The sequence below is a fragment of the Homo sapiens genome, chromosome 19, assembly GCF_000001405.40.
Source record: "Homo sapiens chromosome 19, GRCh38.p14 Primary Assembly".
Lineage (NCBI taxonomy): Eukaryota > Metazoa > Chordata > Mammalia > Primates > Hominidae > Homo > Homo sapiens.
Window position 1 is genome coordinate 36,675,087 of NC_000019.10, and position 23,914 is coordinate 36,699,000.

Sequence of the window (23,914 nt, forward strand, 5' to 3'; positions counted from 1 at the left end):
CCATTTAATAAAATGCCTTAAACATACATTCTAAAATCAACAGATGTTTCTTGCAAAGAAAATAGCAAGTATATGTAACAAGTATACTTAAGTTTAAATTTATAAAAGTATATTTAAAACAAAAAATCAGTATCACAGCCTATTAAATGTTAAATGTTAAAGGTATACCTTGGCTGGGTGTGGTGGCTCACACATGTAATACCAGTACTTTGGGAGGCTGAAGCAGGAGGATTGCTTGAGCCCAAGGAGTTGGAGACCACTCTGGGAAACAGAATGTGACCCCATCTCTACAAAAAATAAAAAATTGGCCAGGCGCAGTGGCTCACGCTTGTAATCCCAGCACTTTGGGAGGCTGAGGCAGACAGATCACAAGGTCAGGAGTTCAAAACCAGCCTGATCAACATCGTGAAACCCTGTCTCTACTAAAAATACAAAAATTAGCTGGGCGTGGTGGCGTGCACCTGTAATCCCAGCTACTCAGGAGGCTGAGGCAGGAGAATCACTTGAACCCGGGAGGCGGAGGTTGCAGTGAGCCGAGATTGCACCACTTCACTCCAGCCTGGGTGACAGAGCGAGACTCCGTCTCAAAAAAATAATAAAAAATAATAATAAATTAGCCAGGTGTGGTGGCATGTGCCTGTGGTCCCAGCTACACAGGAGGCTGAGGCAGGAGGATCAGTTGAGCCCAGCAGGTCAAGGCTGCAGTGAGCCATGTTCACGCTGCTGCACTCCAGACTGGGTGACAGAGCAAGACTCTGTCTCAAACAAAAACAAAAACACCCAGTATACCTCTATAGATATTTTTATTTCTATTGCTGATGTCTGGCATTCTATTTGTATGTATATGTACATGTATCTGTATGTACATATGTACACTTTGATAAATGGCATAGCTGTACATATAATAACCTACTGTAGCCACTGTCAGCATGTTTTGGATTTGTCTATATTTTTCTATTATTCTACACCTTTTTTTTTTTTTTTTTTTTTTTTTTTTTGAGACAGAGTCTCACTCTGTTGCCCAGGGTGGAGTGCAGTGGCACCATCTTGGCTCACTGCAACCTCTGCCTCCTGGGTCAAGCGATTATCCTGCCTCAGCCTCCCGAGTAGCTGGGATTACAGGCACCTGCCACCATGCCTGGCTAATTTTTGTATTTTTAGTTGAGACGGGGTTTCACCATATTGGCCAGGCTGGTCTCGAACCTCTGACCTCAAGTGATCTGCCCGCCTCAACCTCCCGAAGTGCTGGGATTACAGGTGTGAGCCACTGCACCCAACCAACTTTTTTTTTTTTTTAACTGATCACTTAACAGTTCGTTCTGAGGAAGTTCTGGAATTTTTAAACTAGTATATTCCTGCTAGACTCAAAGCTGAACCATGCCAGAGAAATTCCTTCCATATGCTGCCCAGCTGCTATGTATACCCCACCCTCCCATTTCCCTCAGGGTCCTGTGGGACTTACTTTCAGTGGCAAAAAGCGTAATTACTTTTGCACCAACCTAATAGATTTGGAGTGTTTTTGTCATTTGCAGGACTGTCACTTCGAGGGATAACCATCAAGTTCTCCAGGTGCAGAGTGAGTGGCTGAACCCTGCTTAAAGGGATGTAACTATAAGGATGTGATGTCAGAGCCTAGTCTTGCTAGTTAAGAATAATTTCGGTGGCTCGCGCTTGTAATCCCAGCACTTTGGAAGGCCAAGGTTGGGGGATCGCTTGAGCCCAGGAGCTCGATACCAGCCTGGGCAACATGGTGAAACTTCATCTCTATTTATAAAAGTAAAAGATAGGGCCGGGCGCGGTGGCTCATGCCTGTAATCCCAGCACTTTGGGAGGCCGAGGTGGGCAGATCACCTGAGGTCAGAAGTTCGAGACTAGCCTGACCAACATGGAGAAACCCTGTCTCTACTAAAAATACAAAATTAGCTGGGTATGATGGTGCATGCCTGTAATCCCAGCTACTTGGGAGGCTGAGGCAGGAGAATCGCATGAACCTGGGAGGCAGAGGTTGTGGTGAGCCAAGACCATGCCATTGCACTCTAGCCTGGGCAACAAGAGCGAAACTCCGTCTCAAAAAAAAAAAAAAAAAAAAAAGGCTGGGTGTGGTGGCTCACGCCTGTAATCCCAGCACTTTGGGAGGCTGAGGTGGGTGGATCACGAGGTCAGGAGTTCGAGACTAGCCTGGCCAACATAGTGAAACCCTGTCTCTACTAAAAATACAAAAAATTAGCCCAGTGTTGAGGCGGGCACCTGTAATCCCAGCTACTCGGGAGGCTGAGGCAGGAGAATTGCTTGAACTTGGGAGGCAGAGGTTGCAGTGAGCTGAGATCATGCCACTGCATTCCAGCCTGGGCAACAGTGCGAGACTCTGTCTCAAAAAAAAAAAAAAAAAAAAAAAAAAGGCCAGGCATGGTGGTTCATGCCTTTAATCCCAGCACTTTGGGAGGCCGAGGCGGGTGGATCACCTGAGGTGAGGAGTTCGAGACCAGCATGGCCAACATGTCGAAACCCCATCTCTACTAAAAATACAAAAGTTAGCCAGGCATGGTGGTGCGCGCCTGTAGTCCCAGCTACTTGGGAGGCTGAGGCAGAAGAATCGCTTGAACCCAGGAGGTGGAGTTTGCAGTGAGCTGAGATCATGCCACTGCACTCCAATCTGGGCAACAGAGTGAGACTCCAACTCAAAAAAATAAATAAAATAAAAATTTTTAAAGAATATTTTCCTTTATTATTTATAATCTGCTTGCTGGGAGTATTTTCTTTCATTGTGAGTCTCTTGAGAGCCTTGGAAGAACTGATCTGACATTTTTATAGCTGCAAACACTCAACTGTGTTTTTATTATTGAGGCTTCATTTTCTTGACACCTAAAGTGACTTTATCTTCCTCTGTCTCATATTTTCCTCTCCCTGAATTGACATCACCACAACAGGCCTAAGTCCAATTTCTTTTCCTATATACAGGACCTTTTATCTCTAAGCCAGATGTGATTTCCCCATTGAAGAAAAGGAGATAGCCGTGAATGTGTGGAGAGTAATGTGTTAAGGTGGCTCAAAGAAGAGGGAAGCCATTGCAGATAAATGCTCAGCTGATATGAAGAGTCAAAACTTCAAGGTATTGTTTGAGAAACTTTTCCCTCAGTGGCCAGTGGAGAGAACTGAGGTCCCTTCAGTCTGAGTTCCCAAAGACACCTCACCATCATGCCTCTGTGTCAGTGTGCCCATAGCTCCTTCTATAATTCTTCCAGTTTTAAGGAGGGAAGGATTAGCCTTATAGAGTTTCTAATTATAAAAGAAATACACACTGAGCATTAAAATTAAGAAAACAGAGAATCCTATTCCACATAGCAAAGGAAACAATAGGATGAAGAGACAACCCAAAGATTAGGAGAAAATACTTGCAAATCATATATTGGATAAGGGGCTAATATTCAAAATGTAAAAGGAACTCACACTTCTTAATAACAAGAATACAAATAACTGGCCGGGTGCGGTGGCTCACGCCTGTAATCTCAGCACTCTGGGAGGCCAAGGTGGGTGGATCATGAGGTCAGGAGATTGAGACCATCCTTGGGGTTAGGTGAAACCCCATCTCTACTAAAAAATACAAAAAATTCGCCAGGCGTAGTGGTGGGTGCCTGTAGTCCCAGCTACTCAGGAGGCTGAGGCAGGAGAATGGTGTGAACCTGGGAGGCGGAGCTTGCAGTGAGCCGAGATCGCCCACTGCACTCCAGCACTCCAGCCTAGGTGACAGAGTGAGACTCTGTCTCAAAAAAAAAAAAAGAATACAAATAACCCTATTAAAAATGGGCAAAGGACTTGTATACATTTCTCAAAAGAAGACATACAAATGGCCAGCACATATACGAAAAATGCTAAACATCTCTAATCATCAGATAAATGCAAATTAAAGCCACGATGAGGGGCCGAGCGCGGTGGCTCACGCCTGTAATCCCAGCACTTTGGGAGGCCGAGCTGGGCAGATCATGAGGTCAGGAGATCGAGACCATCCTGGCTAAGATGGTGAAACCCCGTCTCTAATAAAAATACAAAAAATTAACCAGGCATGGTGGTACGCACCTGTCGTCCCAGATACTTGGGAGGCTGAGGCAGGAGAATCGCTTGAACCCAGGAGGTGGAGATTGCAGTGAGCCGAGATTGCATCACTGCACTCCAGCCTGGGCGACAGCGCGAGACTCCATCCCCCCCAAAAAAACCACAGTGAGATATTACCGTGCACCTGTTAGACACCTGCTATTACAAACAAAGATGAAAGGTTAGTGTTGGTGAGGATGTAGAGAAAAGGAACACTGTTGCGAGCACTGTAAATTACTACAGCCATTTTGGGAAACAGTGTAGAGCTTCCTCAAAAAACAAAAAATAGAATTACCATATGAGCCAGCAACCCCACAAGGAATTGACATCAGTATGTCAAAGATGTCTGCACTCCCATGTTAACTGTAGCATTATTCACAATAACTAAGATATGGAAACAAGCTAAGTGTCCATCAATGGATGAATGGATTTTTTAAATGGAGGATATATACACAGTGGAATACTATTCAGCCTTAAACATGAAATTCTGTCATTTGCAACAACATGGGTATACCTAGAGGATATTATGTTAAGTGAAATAAGCCAGACACAGAGAGACAAATACTGTATGATCTCACTTACATGTGGAATCTAAAAAGTTGAACTCTTAGAAGTAGAGAGTAGGAGGGTGGTTACCAAAGGTTGGGGGGTGGGGATGTGGTGGATGGGGAAAGGGGAAATGCTGGTTAACAGGTACAAAGTTTTGTTTAGATAGGAAGAATACATTCTGCTGTTCTTTTGTCCAACACAGTGACTATAGTTACTGTATTGTATATTTCAAAATAGCTAAAAGATAGGATTTTATATGTTCTTACCACAAAGAAATGGTAAATATTTGAGGTAACGGATATGCTAACCAGCCTGATTTGATCATTCCATCATGTATTGATGCATACAAATATCACATTGTACCATATAAATTATACAATTATTGTACAAATATATACATCAATATACAATTGTACATACAATACATACAATTGTTGTACAAATATATACAATTATTACTTGTCAATTAAAAATTTTAAAAAAGAAATCTGAAATAACAGTTGCCCCCTATGAGCATCTCACGATAAATCCCTTTAATCTCCTCTACATATACTGAGTATTAAAAAACAGAATCGTCTAGAACATTGTTGCTGTTCTGAGACCTGTCTTTCTCATTTAACACAAGTGAACATTTTTCTTTGTCAGCAAGTAGCGGTAAACATCATCCATTCTAATGGCTGTATTTTTTAATAGGTGGAGTTGTATCTTCAGGGCAGATTCCTAACAGTGGAATGGCTGGGTCACAAGGGAAATGTGTAGGTAGTTTTTGTACATGTTGTCAAATTTCCCACCATAAGGGTTGTGCCGGTTTGTTTTCCCACCATCAGTGTATGAGACTGCCTGATTCCCTGTACATTCATTCCTGTGGCTGCTCTAACAAGTTACCACAAACTTGGTAGCTTTAAACAATAGTTTACTCTCTCACATTCTGGAGGCCAGAACTCCAAAAATCTAGACATCAGCAGGGCTGGAGCGCTCCTAGAGATTCTAGGGGAGAAGCCTCACTTTGCCTCTTTTTCTGGTGGCTGTAGCCATTCCTTGACCATTCCTTGACATTCCTGGCCCCATCACTGAGATTTCCACCTCCGGGGTCACATTGCTGCCTCTTCTTCCTCTGTCTGCCAGTCTCCTTGTGTCTCTTTTAAGGTTGCTTGTCACTGGATTTAGGACCCAACCCACCCAGACAATCCAGGATGAACTACTCATCTCAAACTTCTTAATTTAATTTCATCTGCAAAGACCCTCTTTCCAAATTAAGTAACATTCACAGTTTCCAGAGATTAGGACATGGACATATCTTTTTGCAGGGTCATCAGTCAGCCGACTATATCCTGTCTCACCAACAGAATACATTGTTATATTTTTTAATTTTTGTCATCTTGATAGGTTAAAAATGGTCTCAGTATTCCCCCTCTCCCCCTGCCAAGAGACAGGGTCTTGCTTGTTGTCCAGGCTAGAGTGCAGTGGTGCAATCATAGCTCACTGTAATCTCAACCTCCTGGCCTCAAGCAATCCTTCCACCTCAGGCTCCCAAAGCACTGGGATTACAGGTGTAAGCCACCTCACCTGGCCTGTCTCCATATTATTTTAATTTGTATTTCTCTTTTTACACATTTAAGGGTCCCTTTTACATATTTTTTGTGAATTGTTAATTTCTCTTACCCATCTTTTCTGTCAGGTTTTTGGGTCTTTCCCTTGACATTAAGAGGAGTTTTGTTTCTTTGAGACAAGGTCTCACGCTGATGCCCAGGCTGGAGTGCAGTGGTGCAATCACGGCTCACTACAGCCTTGACTTCCAGGGCTCAAGTGATTCTCCCACCTCAGCCTCCCAAGTATCTGGGACTACAGGCACACAACCACACCCAGCTAATTTTTTGTATTTTTTTGTAGAAATGGAGTTTCACCATGTTGCCCAGCCTGGTCTTGAACTCCTGGGCTCAAGCGATTGGCCCACCTTGTCCTCCCAAAGTGCTGAGATTACAAGGTGTGAGCCACTGCACCTGGCCAAGTTTTCTTTTTTTTTTTTTTAATTGGGAATTGTTATAGACTGATTTGTTCCCCCCCAGTTCATATGTTTAATATTATTAACTATAGTCATCATGTTACACAACAGAACACCAAAACTTATTCCTCTCATATAACTGAAACTTTGTATATACTGATCAACCTAACTCCTAATTTCTAGTAGTATAAGACTTAAGACATACAACCAGATATATGTAGAGAGAGTGAACAAGAGGGAAGTAACAAAATAATTACATGATAAAGGGTGGGTGCTATGGCTCACACTTGTCATCCCAGCACTTTCAGAGGCTGAGAGACAGGGGGATCACTTGAGGCCAGGAATTCAAGATCAGCCCGGGGAACATAGTGAGACCCCATCTCTATAAATTTTTTAAATTGTCTGGGTGTGGTGGTGGTATGCACCTGTAGTCCTAGCTACTTGGGGAGCTGAGGCTGAGGTGGGAGGATTGTTTGAGTCTAGGAGTTTGAGGTGGCAGTGAGCTATGATAGTGTCACTGTCACTCTAGCCTGGAGTACAGAATGAGACCCTGTCTCAAAAAAAAAAAAAAAAAAAGGTTAAATTACAAGCTACTACTATGTACAGCAACATGGATATAATGTTATCTATATGTATCTATATACTTAGAAATAATGTTGAGCAAAGGAGGTCAGACACAAGAGTACATACTATATGATTCCACCTATATGAAGTTCAAAACCAAACCAAACTATTCTATTATAGAGGTCAAACTAATGGTTAACTTTGAGGTATAATGATTGGGAAGAGATATGAGGGAGCCTTCTGGGATGTTGGAAAGTTTCTATGTCTGTAATGGCGGTTGCATGGGTTTTTTTTTTATTATTTTATTATTATTATTATTATTATTTTTTTTTTTTGAGACGGAGTCTCACTCTGCCGCCCAAGCTGGGGAGCAGCGGCACCATCTTGGCTCACTGCAAGCTCCACCTCCCAGGTTCACGCCATTCTCCTCCCTCAGCCTCCCGAGTAGCTGGGACTACAGGTGCCCTCCACCACGCCCAGCTAATTTTTTGTATTTTTAGTAGAGACAGGGTTTCACCATGTTAGCCAGGATGGTCTCAATCTCCTGACCTCGTGATCCGCCCATGTCAGCCTCCCAAAGTGCTGGGATTACAGGCGTGAGCCACCACACCCAGCTGGGTTTATTTTTTTAAAAAGCCAGCACGCTATAATTTTAAAATTTGTGCTTCCTCTCTCTCTCTTTGTGTGTGTGTGTGTCTGTGTGTGTGTGATTTCATGTGTTCATTTCTTTTACTCACTTTTTCTATCGGGTTTTTGGGTCTTTCCCTCGATTTTAAGAGTTTTTTGTTTTTGTTTTTTTGAGGCATGGTCTCACTCCAACGCTCAGGTTGGAGTGCATTGGCACAATCACGGCTCACTACAGCCTCAATATCCTTGGGCTCAGGTGATCCTCCCATCTCAGCCTCCCAAGTAGCTAGGACTACAGGTGCACCACCACACCCAGCTAATTTTTTGTATTTTTAGTAGATACGGGGTTTCACCATATTGCCCAGGCTGGTCTCAAACTCCTGGGCTCAAGTGTTCCACCCGTCTCAGCCTCCGAAAGTGCTGGGATTACAGGGGTGAGCTATACACCCTCAAAATAAATGGCATATCTGCATTTTTAAATCACATTTTTCTACCTACAAAACCAATTTTCTTTCAGTTCTGGTTTTTGTTTCTGAAGCCCATATTTTATTACACTGAATGAAACCTGTGCATGGGTAATTCATTTAAATAAATATAATTTCTACTGGATTGGTGGATTTAAAAGACTAATGATGGCCAGGTGCAATGGCTCACGCCTGTAATCCCAGCACTTTGGGAGGCCAAGGCAGACGGATCACAAGGTCAGGAGATGGAGACCATCCTGGCCAACATGGTGAAACCCCGTCTCTACTAAAAACCAAAAATTAGCCATGCGTGGTGACATGCGCCTTGTAGTCCCAGCTACTTGGGAGGCTGAGGTGGGGGAATTGCTGGAACCTTGGAGGCGGGGGTTGCAGTAAGCCGAGATCATGCCACTGCACTCTAGCCTGGCAACAAGAGTGAGACTCTGTCTCAAATAATAATAATAATAAAATAAAATAATAATAAAAGACTAATGATACCATATAGTAGCGAATAGACATTCTCATAGTATGTTGAATATTGGTGCAAACTTAATCAGGGCAATTGATATAGATGTGTAAACAGGTTTTAACTATGAAAACCTCATTCTCAGCAAAATATCTAAGACTATCCAAAATATACAATTCACATGTGCACAGAAAAGGCATATGCAGTAAAACATTGCATATAATGGGAAAAAGCTGGAAAGAACTTACATATACAAACAGAACAGTGCAGCCATTAAAAGATTATGACACAGTTCATAATTTAGTGACATGAAAATTTGTTCACTATATTTTGTTAGAAGAAACAAGTAGATTTCAAAACAATTGTTATATAACCCTGTTTTGAATGAAAAAGTCCTATAAGCCTATATCCATGCACTTATTCACAAATGAGGTGAAGTGATTTGGAATAAAGTGTTCAAAGTGCTTTACTTTAAGCTTTTTTTAATATTCTCCAATCTTCTGAATTAAGAATCTACTAATTTTACAATGAGAGAAATCTGCTTTGAGAGCAGAAAAAATAATAATAAAAGGAGATATGTGTATGATACATGGAATGCAATGTTGAAATGGTCTGAATTCTGGCTGAAGAGACCCAAACTTTCTTCATAGACATTCCAGAGCACTAATTCAAATACTGCCTTAAAGGTCCTAAATCTAGAATCCTAAGATTTTATACACAACGAGTTCCTCTTATCAGTTGCCTCTCATTTACCTGGGCACAGAACTGCTGTTAACCAACCTCTTCACGAACTATTGCTCCAAGAAGGAAATCACATCTGGTTTGGACATAAATTAATAGGGTAATTAATAATAAACCCTTCACATAGGCAAAGAAATGGAATTTTGGTCTGATGTGGCTATGGAGAATTGAGACCATTCCTTAATCATCAAGCAGAAAGAAGTCAAGAAAGTATTCTGAAGGATTAGGATGATAACACTTTAGAAATAACACAGGAGAGACGCCCATTTCCAACTCTAGGAATCTTAAACCAGTCCTTCAGAAAGTTACCTAAGAACCCTGAAGTTTCCCTAATCAATCAGGGTGAAGAAAGTAAGATGTTCCCAGAATACAGAATTTGAACTGGAAAGGGGAAAACAGATGTAAAAAGGGAGACCCGGCTGGCCGAGGTGGCTCATGCCTGTAATCCCAACACTTTGGGAGACTGAGGCAGGCAGATCACGTGAGGTCAGGAGTTTGAGACCAGCCTGGCCAACTTGGCGAAACCCCATGTCTACTAAAAATACAAAAATTATCCGGACATGGTGGTGGGCACCTGTAGTCTCAGCTACTCGGAAGGCTGAGGCAGGAGAATCCCTTGAACCTGGGAGGCGGAGGTTGCAGTAAGTCGAGATCACGCCACTGCACTCCAGCCTGGGCGACAGAGCAAGACTCGGTCTCAAAACAAAAAAAGGGGAGACCAAATTGGCTAGTTAAATAAATGTATGTAGGTGTTATATCACACCCCTGAATAATTCCTCCGAATCGGGGTGGGGGTGTCAGTCATCTGTACTCCACCCAGAAGTCAATGCCACATTCCTGAGTCTACATACCCGTGAAATGATAGGAACCCATGTGCCCATAAGGTCCTGGAGGGGAATGCAAAGTTGGTCAAGACATGGGAGCTAGACAGCAAGGAAAAGGAATTGCAAAGGGAAGTTAGTAGTTAAATAAGTTACCACATATCCATGTAATATAATACTAAGATAGACAAATGCAAAGTTGTAGAAAATAGTTAAGGAATATTTTCAAGATACTGTATCAGAGAAATCACTTTACAAAACAGGTTGAACAATACAATTATATCAATATGGTCATTTAAAAAGTCTAGAAAGTTAAACACCTGTTTCAGTTATTTATTGCTATATAACCACCTCAAAAGTTTATGGCTTAAAACAAAAAACAATTAGCTTATTATTTGGGGGGCTTGGCAATTTGGGCTTGGCTTGCCTGAGTGGTTCTTCTGCTGATCATATTCATGTGACAGCTGTCAGCTGTTGGCCTGGTGGAGGCTGGATGGTTCAAGATGGTCTCCCTGAAATTTCTGGCCGTTGTTGCTCACTGGACCTCTCTCTCCAAGTGATCTTTAATGCGCAAGCAAGTTGCTCTTAGCCTTCAGTCATGGTGGTCTCAGGGCAGGAAAAGGGGAAGAGAAAAAGCTGCAAGACTTCCTGAAGCTTTGTCTCAGAAGTCTCACAATATCACTTCCACCACATTCTATTGGTCAAAGCACCTCACAAGGCCCTGCCTAATAGTAACCTAACCACTGACTAGCATTTCAGGAGGAGAAAAAATACTCCCTTGCTGAAAAACAAAATCAAAGAGAACAAAAATAGAAAATACAACAAAACTTCCTTGACCTTGGTTTTCAGATATGCTCAGCAATGGTTCCCTTTCCTCAGGGCTCTTAGAGAACCTCAAGGCAAGGGAGAAGGGGTAAGGAATCATGAGACATCAGACCTTTCTTGGAACCCAGATTGGCTAAATTGGAAAAAATTATTGCCACCACACGAGCTCTCATCATCTACCATAAACATACTCAGATGGAAGTAAAAGGGAGATGGGAGTACTGCTAACCCTTCTTAGTATTCAAGGGAAAGGCCAGGGTCACTGATATCCAGGACTGGGGACTTTCTCAAAATTCACGTTAAGTCTCCTGCGGAGACAGCTCTGGGAATGATGTGGATCACATGGAACCTGACCTCTGAGAGTTCCCAAGGGAGAGCCTCTGAGGAAGGAATCCTACTCCTAGGTTCTCCCCACGACGTCTTCCCAGAACTCTGCTTAAGGGACACTTACAACTCGAAAAGCCTCGTTCCGAAAACAGGTCTGTCCTTTTTCTGTTTGCAGATTTTATTCCACCACTCGATTATCCCTTCCCTTTTTGATGGCCATTTCACTGCAGCTGGGGTCTATACAGCTATAAAGCGGGAGAAAAAAGGAAGCTGGGAACTCAGAGATGCAGAGCCCAAGAAACAATCGAGTCTAAAACTGCCGCTTAGGTGGGCACTCCGCCAGGATCCCCTGTGTCAAACACCAGGCTGAGAACTGGGGACAGGTGTGCCCTGAGAAGACAACGCGGGCCATGCTTCATTGCAAGATGACTCTGCTTAACATAGGCATGGATCATAGTCCTCACAGGCACATTGGGGAGATCTTCGACAGACCCCTCAGTCCCAACATTAAACACAGCACTGCAGAAATGAAGCTTTACCCGTTACACACACAACACCACAGACCTAAAAGGCTCTTCCATCACACGGCCACAGCAGCACTGTCATGATGGAAGGTCTCAAACCCTACAGTGTCACACACCCGACAGCCGACCACGGCCACCCAAAGGTCCCGCATCCGAGCAGGGACAGGAACACAATCACGCACCTGTCGCAGCCTCCTCGCCGCGCACACCGCCGCCTTGTCCTGGCATCAAACACACACGCACAGGTGCATACACAGGCCCGAGCTACGGCCCTGCACACCCTGTCTGCGTCCCGGGAGCTCGGGGCTTCCTCACCGTGAGCGCCGCCCTCATCCCAGCCACGCACTATGAGAATTTGGAAGGGGAACCAGAGATCAAAGTTCGAAAACCGCCCGGGCGCCTGTGGGAAATGTAGTCCAAGGCCGGAAACGCCCGGATGTGGAGAAGGCGCGCGTAGCCGGTGGACAGCAGGAACGCGCCGCGGAGACACCTGGGAGGCATCGTCCGCGTGGGAGTGCGCATGCGCAGACGCCCGGCCGGCAACCGAAGGTGAGGCTGGTGGGTCCCGCGGGCGCGGAGAAGGCGGGTGACGGTGTGACCCGTAAGGAAGGCTGAGGAGGGAGGCGGGAGCCTGGGCTGGGGAAAGCAAGAAGGGAAGAGGAGCAACCTGGGACGAGGAGTTGGCTGGAGGAAAGTGCGAGTCCGGGCCTCAGAGAAGGCTGGGAGGGAAGCAGGAACCAGAGCGCGGGCCCGGGAGCACCTGAAGAAGGGAACCGGTTGCCCGAGGCGGGGGGTGAGCTCCCCAGTGGCAGGAATTTCGTCTGATTTTCGTCCCCTGGCTCCTGGAGCACGGCCTGGCACACAACAGGCGCTCCGTGTGTGTGTGTGTGGCTTTTCGTACCTGTCCTGTGTGTTGTGGTAGGGGAATGTGTTATTCTGTGTGACGTTGTGGAACCGGTTGTTTATGAAAGTGATAGGGTCCCTGCGTGTCTTAAGTTTTAATTTAAATTAGATGCGAGTCGATTTGTGTTTGAGCCTGTGTCCGACTCTGGAGAGGCGACAGTGAGGGCATTGTGAGTGAAAGGTTGTTACTTTTTGTAGAAGTTCTGTGAAATTGTGCACGACGTGGGGGCCTATGGGATTATGACTATGTAGTGGGTGATACAGCTATGAATATGCCTAATTTTAAAAGTATTTGGTGTACACGACCTATGATGACTGTGAATGTGGCACACTGTGTGACTTAGGTGGAGTGCTTGAGAAACCGAGTGTTGACTAAAGTATGCATTGTTTAGATTGATTTATGAGTATTGGGCATTTTATATATGCCTGTAGAATTTGACTCTGGTAATTAGACAAGTAAAATAAGTAGTGATTTTTTTTTTTTAATGGAGAGGAAGAGGCAAAATAATTTTCAGAGGGTAAGATTGGGCCCATGCGGGCCGGGCGCGGTGGCTCACGCCTGTAATCCCAGCACTTTGGAAGGCTGAGGCGGGCCGATCACGACGTCAGGAGATCGAGAACATCCTGGTTAACATGGTGAAACCCCGTCTCTACTAAAAATACAAAAAATTAACCGGGCGTGGTGGCGGGCGCCTGTAGTCCCAGCTACTTGGGAGGCTGAGTCAGGAGAATGGCGTGAACCCGGGAGGCGGAGCTTGCAGTGAGCCGAGATCGTGCCACTGCAATCCAGCCTGGGTGGCAGAGCAAGACTCCGTCTCAAAAAAAAAAAAAAGATTGGGCCCATGCGCGGTGGCTCACGCCTGCAATCCCAGCACTTTGGGAGGCTGGGGCGGACAGATCACCTGAGGTCAGGAGTTTGACCAGCATGGTGAAACCCCGTCTCTACTAAAAAATATAAAAATTAGCTGGGCATGATGGCGCATGCCTGTAGCCCCAGCTACTCGGGAGCTGAGGCAGGGGAATCGCTTGAACTCGGAGGTGGAAGTTGCAGTGAGCCAAGATCGCGCCACTGCACTCCAGCCTGGGCGACAGAACGAGACTCCGTCCCTTCCCTTCCAAAAAAGATCATTTATTGGGAAACCTGGTATTGACTGATGACTGATATGCTTAAATGAATAGAATACCACTGGGACCACACAGAAAAAAACTTTATCTCATAACTGCCACTCTCAAAATTCCTATTTGAGAGTGTGTGTGTGTGTGTGTGTGTGTGTGTGTGTGTGTGTATTTATTTTTTTTTTTGCTGGATGAATTTCTTCTGCTGGAAGCCTGAAATGTGAAAGGATACATGATTAGTTTCTTCTCTAATTCCCCAACCTTTATTTTGTCTCCTCTTTACTCCCTATAGGCAGTCTTTAGCTCTCATGGATTGGGAGCTGGGAAAGGAATGAGAAGACAGAAGTCAGAGACAAGAAGAGGCTAACATGACTGATACCACTATAATTTAGTGTAAGTCATCTCTTACCTTCCAAGAGAACCTGCTGCTTGGAACCTCCAGATACACTTCCCTTCTCATGGGCATAGCCTCTTCTCCAGCTGCTGCCCCAGTGCTTCCTCTGGGCATTCAGTGGCCCACCGACTCTGGTGGGTGGGTTTGTCCAGTCATTCCTCTTTGATAGGACCCAAGACAACCCAGACAGCCTCCACCCATGGGGTCTTCACCTAGTGCTAAGGTGAGAATTAGCCACCTCAGTCACTTTGCCCTCCCAAATCTTAGAAATATGTAAAATTTTTGCCAAGAATTCTCTCACCACTTTGGTTCCTGGTGGCCTCAGGGTCTGAGGGACCCCTTGTGTGTTGTAAAAAAGGGAGAATCACTCACGTTTTTCCCCCTGGAAAAACACTGTTCTAAAAATAACAGTCTCTTAAAAATACATGCTCCTCTCTCAGCCTCTCCACTGTCTTTAAAGGAGGAGTTTAATGATAGCAAAATTTTACACTCAACAGCTCTATAAGATCCTGTTCTTGAATGAAGTTCTCTTAGAATTTTGTTTCATTTGCTATCTTTGGGATATCAGCTGAGGCTGAGGCAGAAATATTTCTAAGTTTTCATCCTATTAAAAATTGAACAGTGATAACAATTAGAAAACTCAGGGTTGTTGGAAAAAACATTAACAAATAAATAGGGGGTGTGTGTGTATGTGGAAAGTATGGGGAAAAAGACTTATTTACAGTGGTCATCAAAAATAAGAGATACAAAGGAAGTGACTTTACTAATTACATGATATGTTATTAAAGAGCACATTTTAAAATAGGACTTTTGGTGGGGCTTGGTGGCTCATACCTGTAATCCCAGCACTTTGGGAGGCTGAGGTGTGTGCACTGCTTGAGTCCAGGAGTTCAAGACCAGCCTGGGCAACTTAGTGAAACCCTGTCTCTACAAAAATACAAAAATTAGCCAGGCGTAGTGGCACGCCCCTGTGGCTAGCTACTCAGGAGACTGAGGTGGGAGGATCACCTGAGCCCAGGGAGGTCGAGGCTGCAGTGAGCCGTGATCACACCACTGCACTCCAGCCTGGGCAACAGAGTGAGACTTTGTTTCAAAACAAAACAAAAGAAACTATAAAACTCTTAGGAAAAAACACATAGGCATACATCTTAATGATCTTAAATTTGGCATGCATTCTTTTGGAGTTTCTTTCATGGTGATTGAAATGTTCTAAAATTAGGTTGTGGATGATTGTTCATTATGATGGTTTGTGAATATACCAACAACCATTGAATCGTATACTTTAGATGGATGAATTTTATGGTGTGTAAATTATATCTCAATGCTGTCATTTAAAAAATCTTGGCTAGGCCACCTCTGCAATGTGTAACACTGAGCAAGCCATGAGTGTCTCCTGTGTTAGTCATGTTAGTCAATTTCAGGTATAATAGGACCTACCTCACTCAGGGTTTTTGTGAGGGTCATTGGATCTACATCACAGGGAATTATTTTGGAAAGTGTAAAGAAATAATTGAATTCCAAATATCCAAGAGAAGGAAACTGGTTGGATTAACCAAGTACAGTGCCACTGAGGAGTATTATGCAGCCATGAAAAGGGATCAGTTGCATGGATTTATGGAGAAGGGCCTCCAGGATACTTTGGATTTTTTTGTTTTCTTGTTTTGTTTGTTTGTTTCTGAGACAAGGTCTCCCTCCGTTGCCCAGGCTGGAGTGCAGTGGCTTGATCATGGCTCACTGCAGCCTCGATCTCCCTGGGCTCAGGTGATCCTCCCACCTCAGCCTCCCAAGTAGCTGGGACTACAGGCATGTACAACCATACCTGGCTAATTTTATTTTATTTTATTTTTGTACAGTTGGGGGTCTTGCTATGTTTCCTAGGCTGTTCTTGAACTCCTAGGCTCAAGTGATCTGCCCACCTTGGCCTCCTCAGGTGCTGGGATTATAGGTGTGAGCTACCTTGCCTGGCCTCCAGGATACTTTGTTAGTGACAAAAGCAACCGAATATTATATTCTATCTTTTATCTAAGCTTTCAGCTTATCCTTTCATTATTTTAATATAAGCAAATGTATATATTTGGATTTTTTTAAACTCATGTCACCACCATCACCCAAATTTAAAAAGAAAACAAAAACAGAACACTTCTAGCCCCCATCCAATCACCCTGGCACAGAAGTAACCTCTGTTGTAATTTCATCTCATATAAAAGGAGTCATGCAGAATGTAGCCTTTTGAGTCTGGCTTCATTCAGTAAGGATGTTGCAATTAGTAAACTGTAGCTGGGACTACAAGTACATGCCATCATGCTGGCTAATTTGTGTATTTTTATTTTGCAGAGACAGAGTCTCACTATGTTGCCCAGGCTGGTCTCGAACTCCTGAGCTCATGCAATCCTCCTGCCTTGTCTTCCCAAAGTGCTGGGATTACAGGCATGAGCTCAGTTCAGTTGCATGTTGCAATTCACTCATATTATTGCATGTATCATTGCTTCATTCTTCTTAGTATAAAGTAGTATTCCATTGTCTGGATGGATCACAGTTGGTTTGTCTGTGTATCCATTGATGCACACTTGGGTTGTTTCCAGTTCTGAGGTGGTTATGAATAAAACTGCTACGAACATTCACATTCGGGTCTTTTTGTAGATACATGTCTTTGTTTGTCATGGATAGATACTCAGGAGTGGTATTGATGGGTCGTTTAAACAATTACTTTAAAATGGTATCTTTACATGGAATAGTTTTGCCTCTTGATTGTGGTGGTGGTGACACAAATCTAAATGTGTGATAAAATGGTAAAAACACGCACATAATGAATGCATGGAAAACTAGTGATATCTGAAAGAAGTTGGTGCATTGTGTAATGACAATTTTCTGATTTTTTGTTTTTATTTTTTAGAGACAGAGTCTTGCTCTGTTGTCCAGGTCGAAGTACAGTGGCACAGTCATAGTTCATTGTAGCCTCAAACTCCTGGGCTTAAGTGACCCTCCTGCCTCAGCCTCCTGAGTAGCTGGGACTACAGGTACACGCCCCCATGCTGGCTAATTTGTGTATTTTTATTTTGTAGAGACAGAGTCTCACTATGTTTCCCAGGCTGGTCTCAAACTCCTAAGCTCATGCGATCTTACTGCCTTGTGCTCCCAAAGTGATGGGATTACAGGCATGAGCTACCTACTGTGCTCAACCAGTTTTCTGATTTTGACCATATGCTATGGTTATGGAAGATGTGACCATTGTGGAGACGCTAGGTGAAAGGTGAATGAGACCTCTCTGCACTATTTTTGCAAGCTTCTGTGGATCTATAATCATTTCAAAATAAAAATAAATAAATTTTAAAAAGAGCCTGCTGCAAGACTGAGAAGTGCCTATGGTGTCTGATTCCCTGTCGTTGGGCATGGATTCTGTTTCCTACTCTGGGCCCTTTTGGACAAAGCCATGCAGAATATCTTATCCCATACCTGCCCCTGTGAGCCACTTACTCTTTCTCAAAGTTTTCAGCAACCCTGGGAGTAGGCGGTATGTGGTGGTTCACACCTATAATCCCAGCACTTTGGGAAGCCAAGGCAGGAAGATCGCTTGAGCCCAGGAATTGGAGACTAGCCTAAGCAACATAGTAAGACCCCATTTCTACCAAAAAAAAAAAAGTTAGCCGGTCTTGATGGCATGCGCCTGTAGTCCCAGCTACCCAGGAGGCTGAGATAGGAGGATCACTTGAGCCCAGTGAGGCCGACGCTGCAATGAGCGGTGATAGGCCACTGCACTCCATCCTGGGCAACAGAGTGAGACCCTGTCTCAAAAACAAAAAAATTAAAATTAAAAAATAATTAGCTGGATGTGGGTGGTACATGCCTATGGTCCCTGCTATGCAAGAGGGAGAATTGCTTGAGCTGAGGAAGTCGAGGCTGCAGTGAGCCATGATCATGCCACTGTATTCTAGCCTAGGCAAAGAGTGAGACCCTGTCTCAAAAATAAAATAAAAATAAGACTTGAATAAAAGGACAGGAAGACACAACATGATAAAATGTCAAAACTTCCTTACATTTCATGGATTTCCATTAAAATTTTAATAAAAATGTTTGAACTTTCTAGCATTGTTAGGAGAAAATAAACACCAAAAATTCTGAGAGAGAAAAACTGTCAAGGAAGTAGCCCTAGTAGATACTAAGCTGTTTTAAAACTGATAACTGTAAGGTGATCCTGGCAATTAAATGAACAGTTCAGTGGAAATAAATATAAAGCCCAGCTCTACTTAGATATATGAAGGACATAAAATATGTGATAAAGATGGCAGTTTTGATGATTGAAGGAAATACAGATTCTGGAGTACTTTGTGATACCAAACTAGATGGCCAAATAATTTTTAAAATTGTATTTTTACATAGAAAAAAAACAGTCAAATGAGAAACTATAAAAAATTATTTGGGGCCGGGCACAATGGCTTACGCCTGTAATCACATATAGGAGGAGCACATGAGGCCAGGAGTTTGAGACCAGCCTGAGCAACATTGCAAGACCCCATCTCAAAAAATAATAATAATTTAAAAAATTAGCCAGGCATGGTGATGTGTGTCTTTTGTCCTAGCTACTTGGGAGGCTGAGACAGAATTGCTTGAGCTCAGGAGTTTGAGGTTGCAGTGAGCTAGAATAGTACCACTGTACTCCAGCCTGGATGGCAGAGTATGACACTGTCTCTAAAAGAGAAAAATTATTTGGAACTCCTACCACAAAAATAAAGGATTAATTTCCTTCCTTTAAAGAAGTCTAACAATTCAGAAAATAAAAATGATAGAAAATGAAATAAATGATGAGACCACAGATAAGAAGCTAAAAGCGTTCTTTAAACTTATGAAAAGAAGCTTCTTGTTCATGGTAAGAAAACTAGAAACTAGAACCACAATTTACATGTGTTAGATAGACAAGCATAAAAAAATTTGTATCAGTAGTATTCCTCAGTGTGGAATGACAGGTATTCTCATATATTGCTGGCAGTACTATGAATGGTACAGCCTTAACGGAGAGCAGCTTGGAAGTAGTTAATAACAGTAGGCTGACTAGGAGAGAAAAGGTAGTGCTTGAGGGGAGAGGAGCTTGCCCAAAATCCATCCTGCTGCCCCAAAAGCCTGTATCTCTGGCCTTGGGGATAAAACAGAATTTGCCTAGCTGGTTGTCCCATCTATATTTATGTGGCATGTTCAGAGTGGACAAGGATCAATACAAGGGAAATGGAGGCAATTTTAATAGAATTATAAGAGCTGTGAGGCACATGTGGTCTCATGTGGCTTTTTTTGTCTCGGCTTTGCCTCCTTAGGAACTGCCTCTTTTCTAAAGAGGACTCCAAAGGAAGGACTGGTCATCTCTTTCATATCTCAAAACCATGGCTCAGGTAAGGCGATGGTTTCTCTCTCCTTTCTGAAAGTCTTTTTTTTTTTTTTTTTTAAGGATATTTGGGCATGTGTCGGTCTTGTCCTACATCCTCCTACCTATCTTTCCCTTCAGAAAACTGGTCCTCACTTCTTCCCATATTGGTCAGATAAGACTCTACCTTCCACAAATGCTCCCAATTTTAACCAATGTTGACACATTAAGTGGATAAATCAGGCCAGGCATGGTGGCTCACACCTTAACAGCACTTCGCTCCCAGCACTTTGAGAGGCTGAGGCAGGAGAATTGCGAGTCCAGGAGTTCAAGACCAGCCAGCCTGGGCAACATAGAGAGATCCTTGTCTCCACCAGAAATTAAAAAAAAAAAAAATAGGCCAGGCGCGGTGGCTCACGCCTGTAATCCCAGCACTTTGGGAGGCCGAGGTGGGCAGATCACCTGAGGTCAGAAGTTTGAGACCAGCCTGGCCAACATGGTGAAATGCTGTCTCTACTAAAAATATAAAAATTAGCTGGGCTTGGTGGCAGGCGCCTGTAATCCCAGCCAGTTGGGAGGCTGAGGCAAGATAATTGCTTGAATCCAGGAGGCAGAGGTTGCAGTGAGTGAAGATTACGCTGCTGCACTCCAGCATGGGTGTCAAAGTGAGACTCTATCTCAAAAAAAGAAAAAAATTAGCCCAGTGCAGGTGCAGTGGCATGCACCTGTGGTCCCAGTTATTTGGGAGGTTTAGGTGGGAGGATGGCTTAAGCCCAGAGGTCAGGTCTACAATGAGCCATGATGTCACTGCACTTCAGCCTGGGTGACAGAACAAGACTCTCTTTATTAAAAAAAAAAAAAATAGTGGATATATCATTCACCATCTCCTCTCTCAGTCTTCTTCCAGAAGCTATGCAGGGACAAAAATGCATTTCCTTGAACTAAATGAAAATGTATTACTGAATGAACCTGTCTTGTGTAGATTAAAAAAATATATAAGGCTTTATTGCATCCACAGACTGGAGTCAAGATGGTAGTGAAATTGACAGAATTTATATAGAATTAGTAAGTAGCAAGAAGTCTTGTGTTGAGGCTTTGAGGATGGAAACGTGATTGGCAACTTGTACAAAAAACTGAGAATCTTGTGTTTCTTCTCTACCTTCAGTTTTGCTCACAGCTGCTAACAATTTCTAAAAATCTGTGGCCTTCCAATAACACCTTCTTAGTATATTAATTGTATTCTAGATTTATTTCTATTTTCACATTTCTTCCAATTTTATGTTTGCATGTAGAAGTAAATATATTTGTATAGACTGCCATACTAAACTAGAAGTGTAACTCCTAAAATATTCTGCTTCTGGTTTCAAAGACACTACTCTTTCTTGTTTCAGTCAGAACATTTATCTTCGTATCTGGACCTCTTAAATACTGGTGTTCTCCAGATTCTGTATTGGTTCTCTTCTATTTACACTCTCCTGTTCACTACCTACCACTATTATTCTAATGCTGCTCAAGTAATTTTGATTCTAAACCTCTGTCTTTTTTGATGTATTGTCGAAACTATATATCCAGCCTCCAGCTAGATATCGCCACCTACATGTTCCGCAGATCCTTCATGCACATGTCTGAGATTCACCTCATTGTCTCCTTCTGCCCATCCTATCCTTTTGTTTTTTTCCAATCTGGTTAGGGCCCCAACCCCTACCCACCTGCCAATACAGCCAACATGAGTTAAAAGTCTCCCATTCACTGCAAAACTATTGAGTGGTAAATTCTGTTCCTCTTACCACAGTTCCCTCCATCCTCCACTGATACCATCCTTATTTGGGTTCCTTTCTCATAGTGGTCACTTGTCTTCCCATTTAACATCTTCACTTATTTTCCACTTCTCCAAGGGCTCACCCCAATGCTTGCTTACATATTTTTGTTTTCTGTGCTTTTGTGTTTAACTTTTTATTATGGTAAAATATACATAACAGAGAGCTTACCGTTTTAACCATTTTTTAGCGTATAATTCAAAGCCATTAAGTACGTTCACAAGTTGTGTAACTGTCACCACTATCTATTTCCGGAACTGTTTTTCTTCATTTCACATAGAAATTCTGTACCAATAACACTAAACAGTTACTCCCAATTTTATTCTTTATAGCATCAGATGGAAAGTGCCTTAGAGGAATGTATATAGACATTTCATTAGGAGACAAGAAAATGTTAAAATGCTTATAACAGTTTAAATACGAGAATAATAATCATTAATGCTAATAGAGTTTTCCAGTTAATGAACATGATGCACATCTCCTTTTATTTAGATCTTCCTTAAATTCTCTCAGTAATGTTCCTTTCAGTGTACCAGTCTTGTAAATGTTTTTTATATCCTTGGATATTTTTTAATGCTGCTGTAAATGGTGTTCATTTTTATTTAAATTTCCCACTGTTTATTGCTAGTATGTGAAAATGCAATTGATTTTTTTATCTTGACCTGCAACCTTTCAAAACTCTCTTATTCTAGTAATTTTTTTTTTGTTAGATTCTTAGGATTTTCTATATGGACAATCCTGTCATATGTGAATAATGACTGTTTTCTTTCTTTCTAATCTATATTCCCTTCATTTCTGTCTTTCCTTACTACATTGTCTAGAACCTTCAGTACAATGTTGAGTAGAAGTTCTAAGAACAGACTTTCTTGTCTTGTGCCCAACTTAGGCAAAAGGCATTGTTTTTCATTATTAAGTTTGATATTAGCTATAGGATTAGGATTTTTTTTTCTTTTTTTTTTTTTCTTGAGACAGAGTCTTGTCCTGTCATCCAGGCTGGAGTGCAGTGGTGGATCTCAGCTTACTGCAACCTCTGCCTCCCAGGTTCAAGCGATTCTGGTGCGTCAGCCTCCCACGTAGCTGGGATTACAGGCATGCACCACCATGCTGGCCTAATTTTTGTATTTTTAGTAGAGACAGCATTTCACCATATTGGCGAGGCTGGTCTTGAACTCTGGCCTCAAGTGTTCTGCCTGCCTTGGCTTCCCCAAGTATTGGCATTACAGGTGTGAGCCACCATGTCCGGCTGGAATTTCTTTTTTTTTTTTTTTTTTATTATACTTTAAGTTTTAGGGTACATGTGCACAATGTGCAGGTTAGTTACATATGTATACATGTGCCATGCTGGTGTGCTGCACCCATTAACTCGTCATTTAGCATTAGGTATATCTCCTAATGCTATCCCTCCCCCCTCTCCCCACCCGACAACAGTCCCCAGAGTGTGATGTTCCCCTTCCTGTGTCCATGTGTTCTCATTGTTCAGTTCCCATCTATAAGTGAGAACATGCGGTGTTTGATTTTTTGTCCTTGTGATAGTTTACGGAGAATGATGATTTCCAATTTCATCCATGTCCCTACAAAGGACATGAACTCATCATTTTTTATGGCTGCATAGTATTTCATGGTGTATATGTGCCACATTTTCTTAATCCAGTCTATCATTGTTGGACATTTGGGTTGGTTCCAAGTCTTTGCTATTGTGAATAGTGCCGCAGTAAACATACGTGTGCATGTGTCTTTATAGCAGCATGATTTATACTCCTTTGGGTATATACCCAGTAATGGGATGGCTGGGTCAAATGGTATTTCTAGTTCTAGATCCCTGAGGAATCGCCACACTGACTTCCACAATGGTTGAACTAGTTTACAGTCCCACCAACAGTGTAAAAGTGTTCCTATTTCTCCACATCCTCTCCAGCACCTGTTGTTTCCTGACTTTTTAATGATTGCCATTCTAACTGGTGTGAGATGGTATCTCATTGTGGTTTTGATTTGCATTTCTCTGATGGCCAGTGATGATGAGCATTTTTTCATGTGTCTTTTGGCTGCATAAATGTCTTCTTTTGAGAAGTGTCTGTTCATATCGTTTGCCCACTTTTTGATGGGGTTGTTTTTTTCTTGTAAATTTGTTTGAGTTCATTATAGATTCTGGATATTAGCCCTTTGTCAGATGAGTAGGTTGCGAAAATTTTCTCCCATTTTGTAGGTTGCCTGTTCTCTCTGATGGTAGTTTCTTTTGCTATGCAGAAGCTCTTTAGTTTAATTAGATCCCATTTGTCAATCTTAGCTTTTGTTGCCATTGCTTTTGGTGTTTTAGTCATGGAGTCCTTGCCCATGC

The 23,914-nt window shown here is 42.8% G+C and overlaps 1 protein-coding gene and 1 long non-coding RNA gene across 44 annotated transcripts in view, besides 3 other annotated features; one reads left to right on the plus strand and one right to left on the minus strand.

The window, feature by feature from the left end:
- Positions 1 to 23,914, plus strand: part of ZNF567 (zinc finger protein 567) — a 60,573-nt gene that overhangs the window by 8,153 nt on the left and 28,506 nt on the right. For 3 of the 42 annotated variants that reach the window (NM_001387761.1, XM_047438330.1, XM_047438333.1), the window contains 3 exons: positions 11,651 to 12,548; positions 14,311 to 14,411; positions 19,716 to 19,790. In NM_001387761.1, the coding sequence (NP_001374690.1) occupies positions 19,782 to 19,790 (9 nt within the window). In that variant the 5' untranslated portion in view covers positions 11,651 to 12,548; positions 14,311 to 14,411; positions 19,716 to 19,781. Of the gene's footprint in view, positions 1 to 2,958; positions 3,110 to 11,650; positions 12,793 to 14,310; positions 14,636 to 17,305; positions 17,430 to 19,715; positions 19,791 to 23,914 lie in introns of those variants that run through there. The other 39 variants (XM_047438329.1, XM_047438332.1, XM_047438320.1 and 36 more) reach the window with 36 other exon arrangements.
- ZNF567-DT (ZNF567 divergent transcript) lies at positions 10,353 to 12,363 on the minus strand. 2 transcript variants are annotated; one of them, NR_110708.1, is made up of 4 exons: positions 12,182 to 12,363; positions 11,600 to 11,720; positions 10,751 to 10,929; positions 10,353 to 10,425 (listed from the first exon to the last, which is right to left on the minus strand). It is a non-coding gene; the product is annotated as a ZNF567 divergent transcript (long non-coding RNA). The 2 variants fall into 2 exon arrangements; NR_110707.1 differs by having other exon boundaries at positions 10,353 to 10,929.
- Positions 12,333 to 12,382: an enhancer, noted in NCBI's record as "active region_14531". NCBI's record gives its function as "activates an Ori minimal core promoter by ATAC-STARR-seq in GM12878 lymphoblastoid cells {active_cell/tissue: GM12878}" and the evidence as "EXISTENCE:reporter gene assay evidence [ECO:0000049][PMID:35858748]".
- Positions 12,583 to 12,642: a silencer, noted in NCBI's record as "silent region_10550". NCBI's record gives its function as "represses an Ori minimal core promoter by ATAC-STARR-seq in GM12878 lymphoblastoid cells {active_cell/tissue: GM12878}" and the evidence as "EXISTENCE:reporter gene assay evidence [ECO:0000049][PMID:35858748]".
- Positions 12,943 to 13,582: an enhancer, noted in NCBI's record as "H3K27ac-H3K4me1 hESC enhancer chr19:37178931-37179570 (GRCh37/hg19 assembly coordinates)". NCBI's record gives its function as "activates a minimal SCP1, AML or CMV promoter by ChIP-STARR-seq in naive H9 embryonic stem cells {active_cell/tissue: H9 hESC(naive)}" and the evidence as "EXISTENCE:reporter gene assay evidence [ECO:0000049][PMID:30033119]".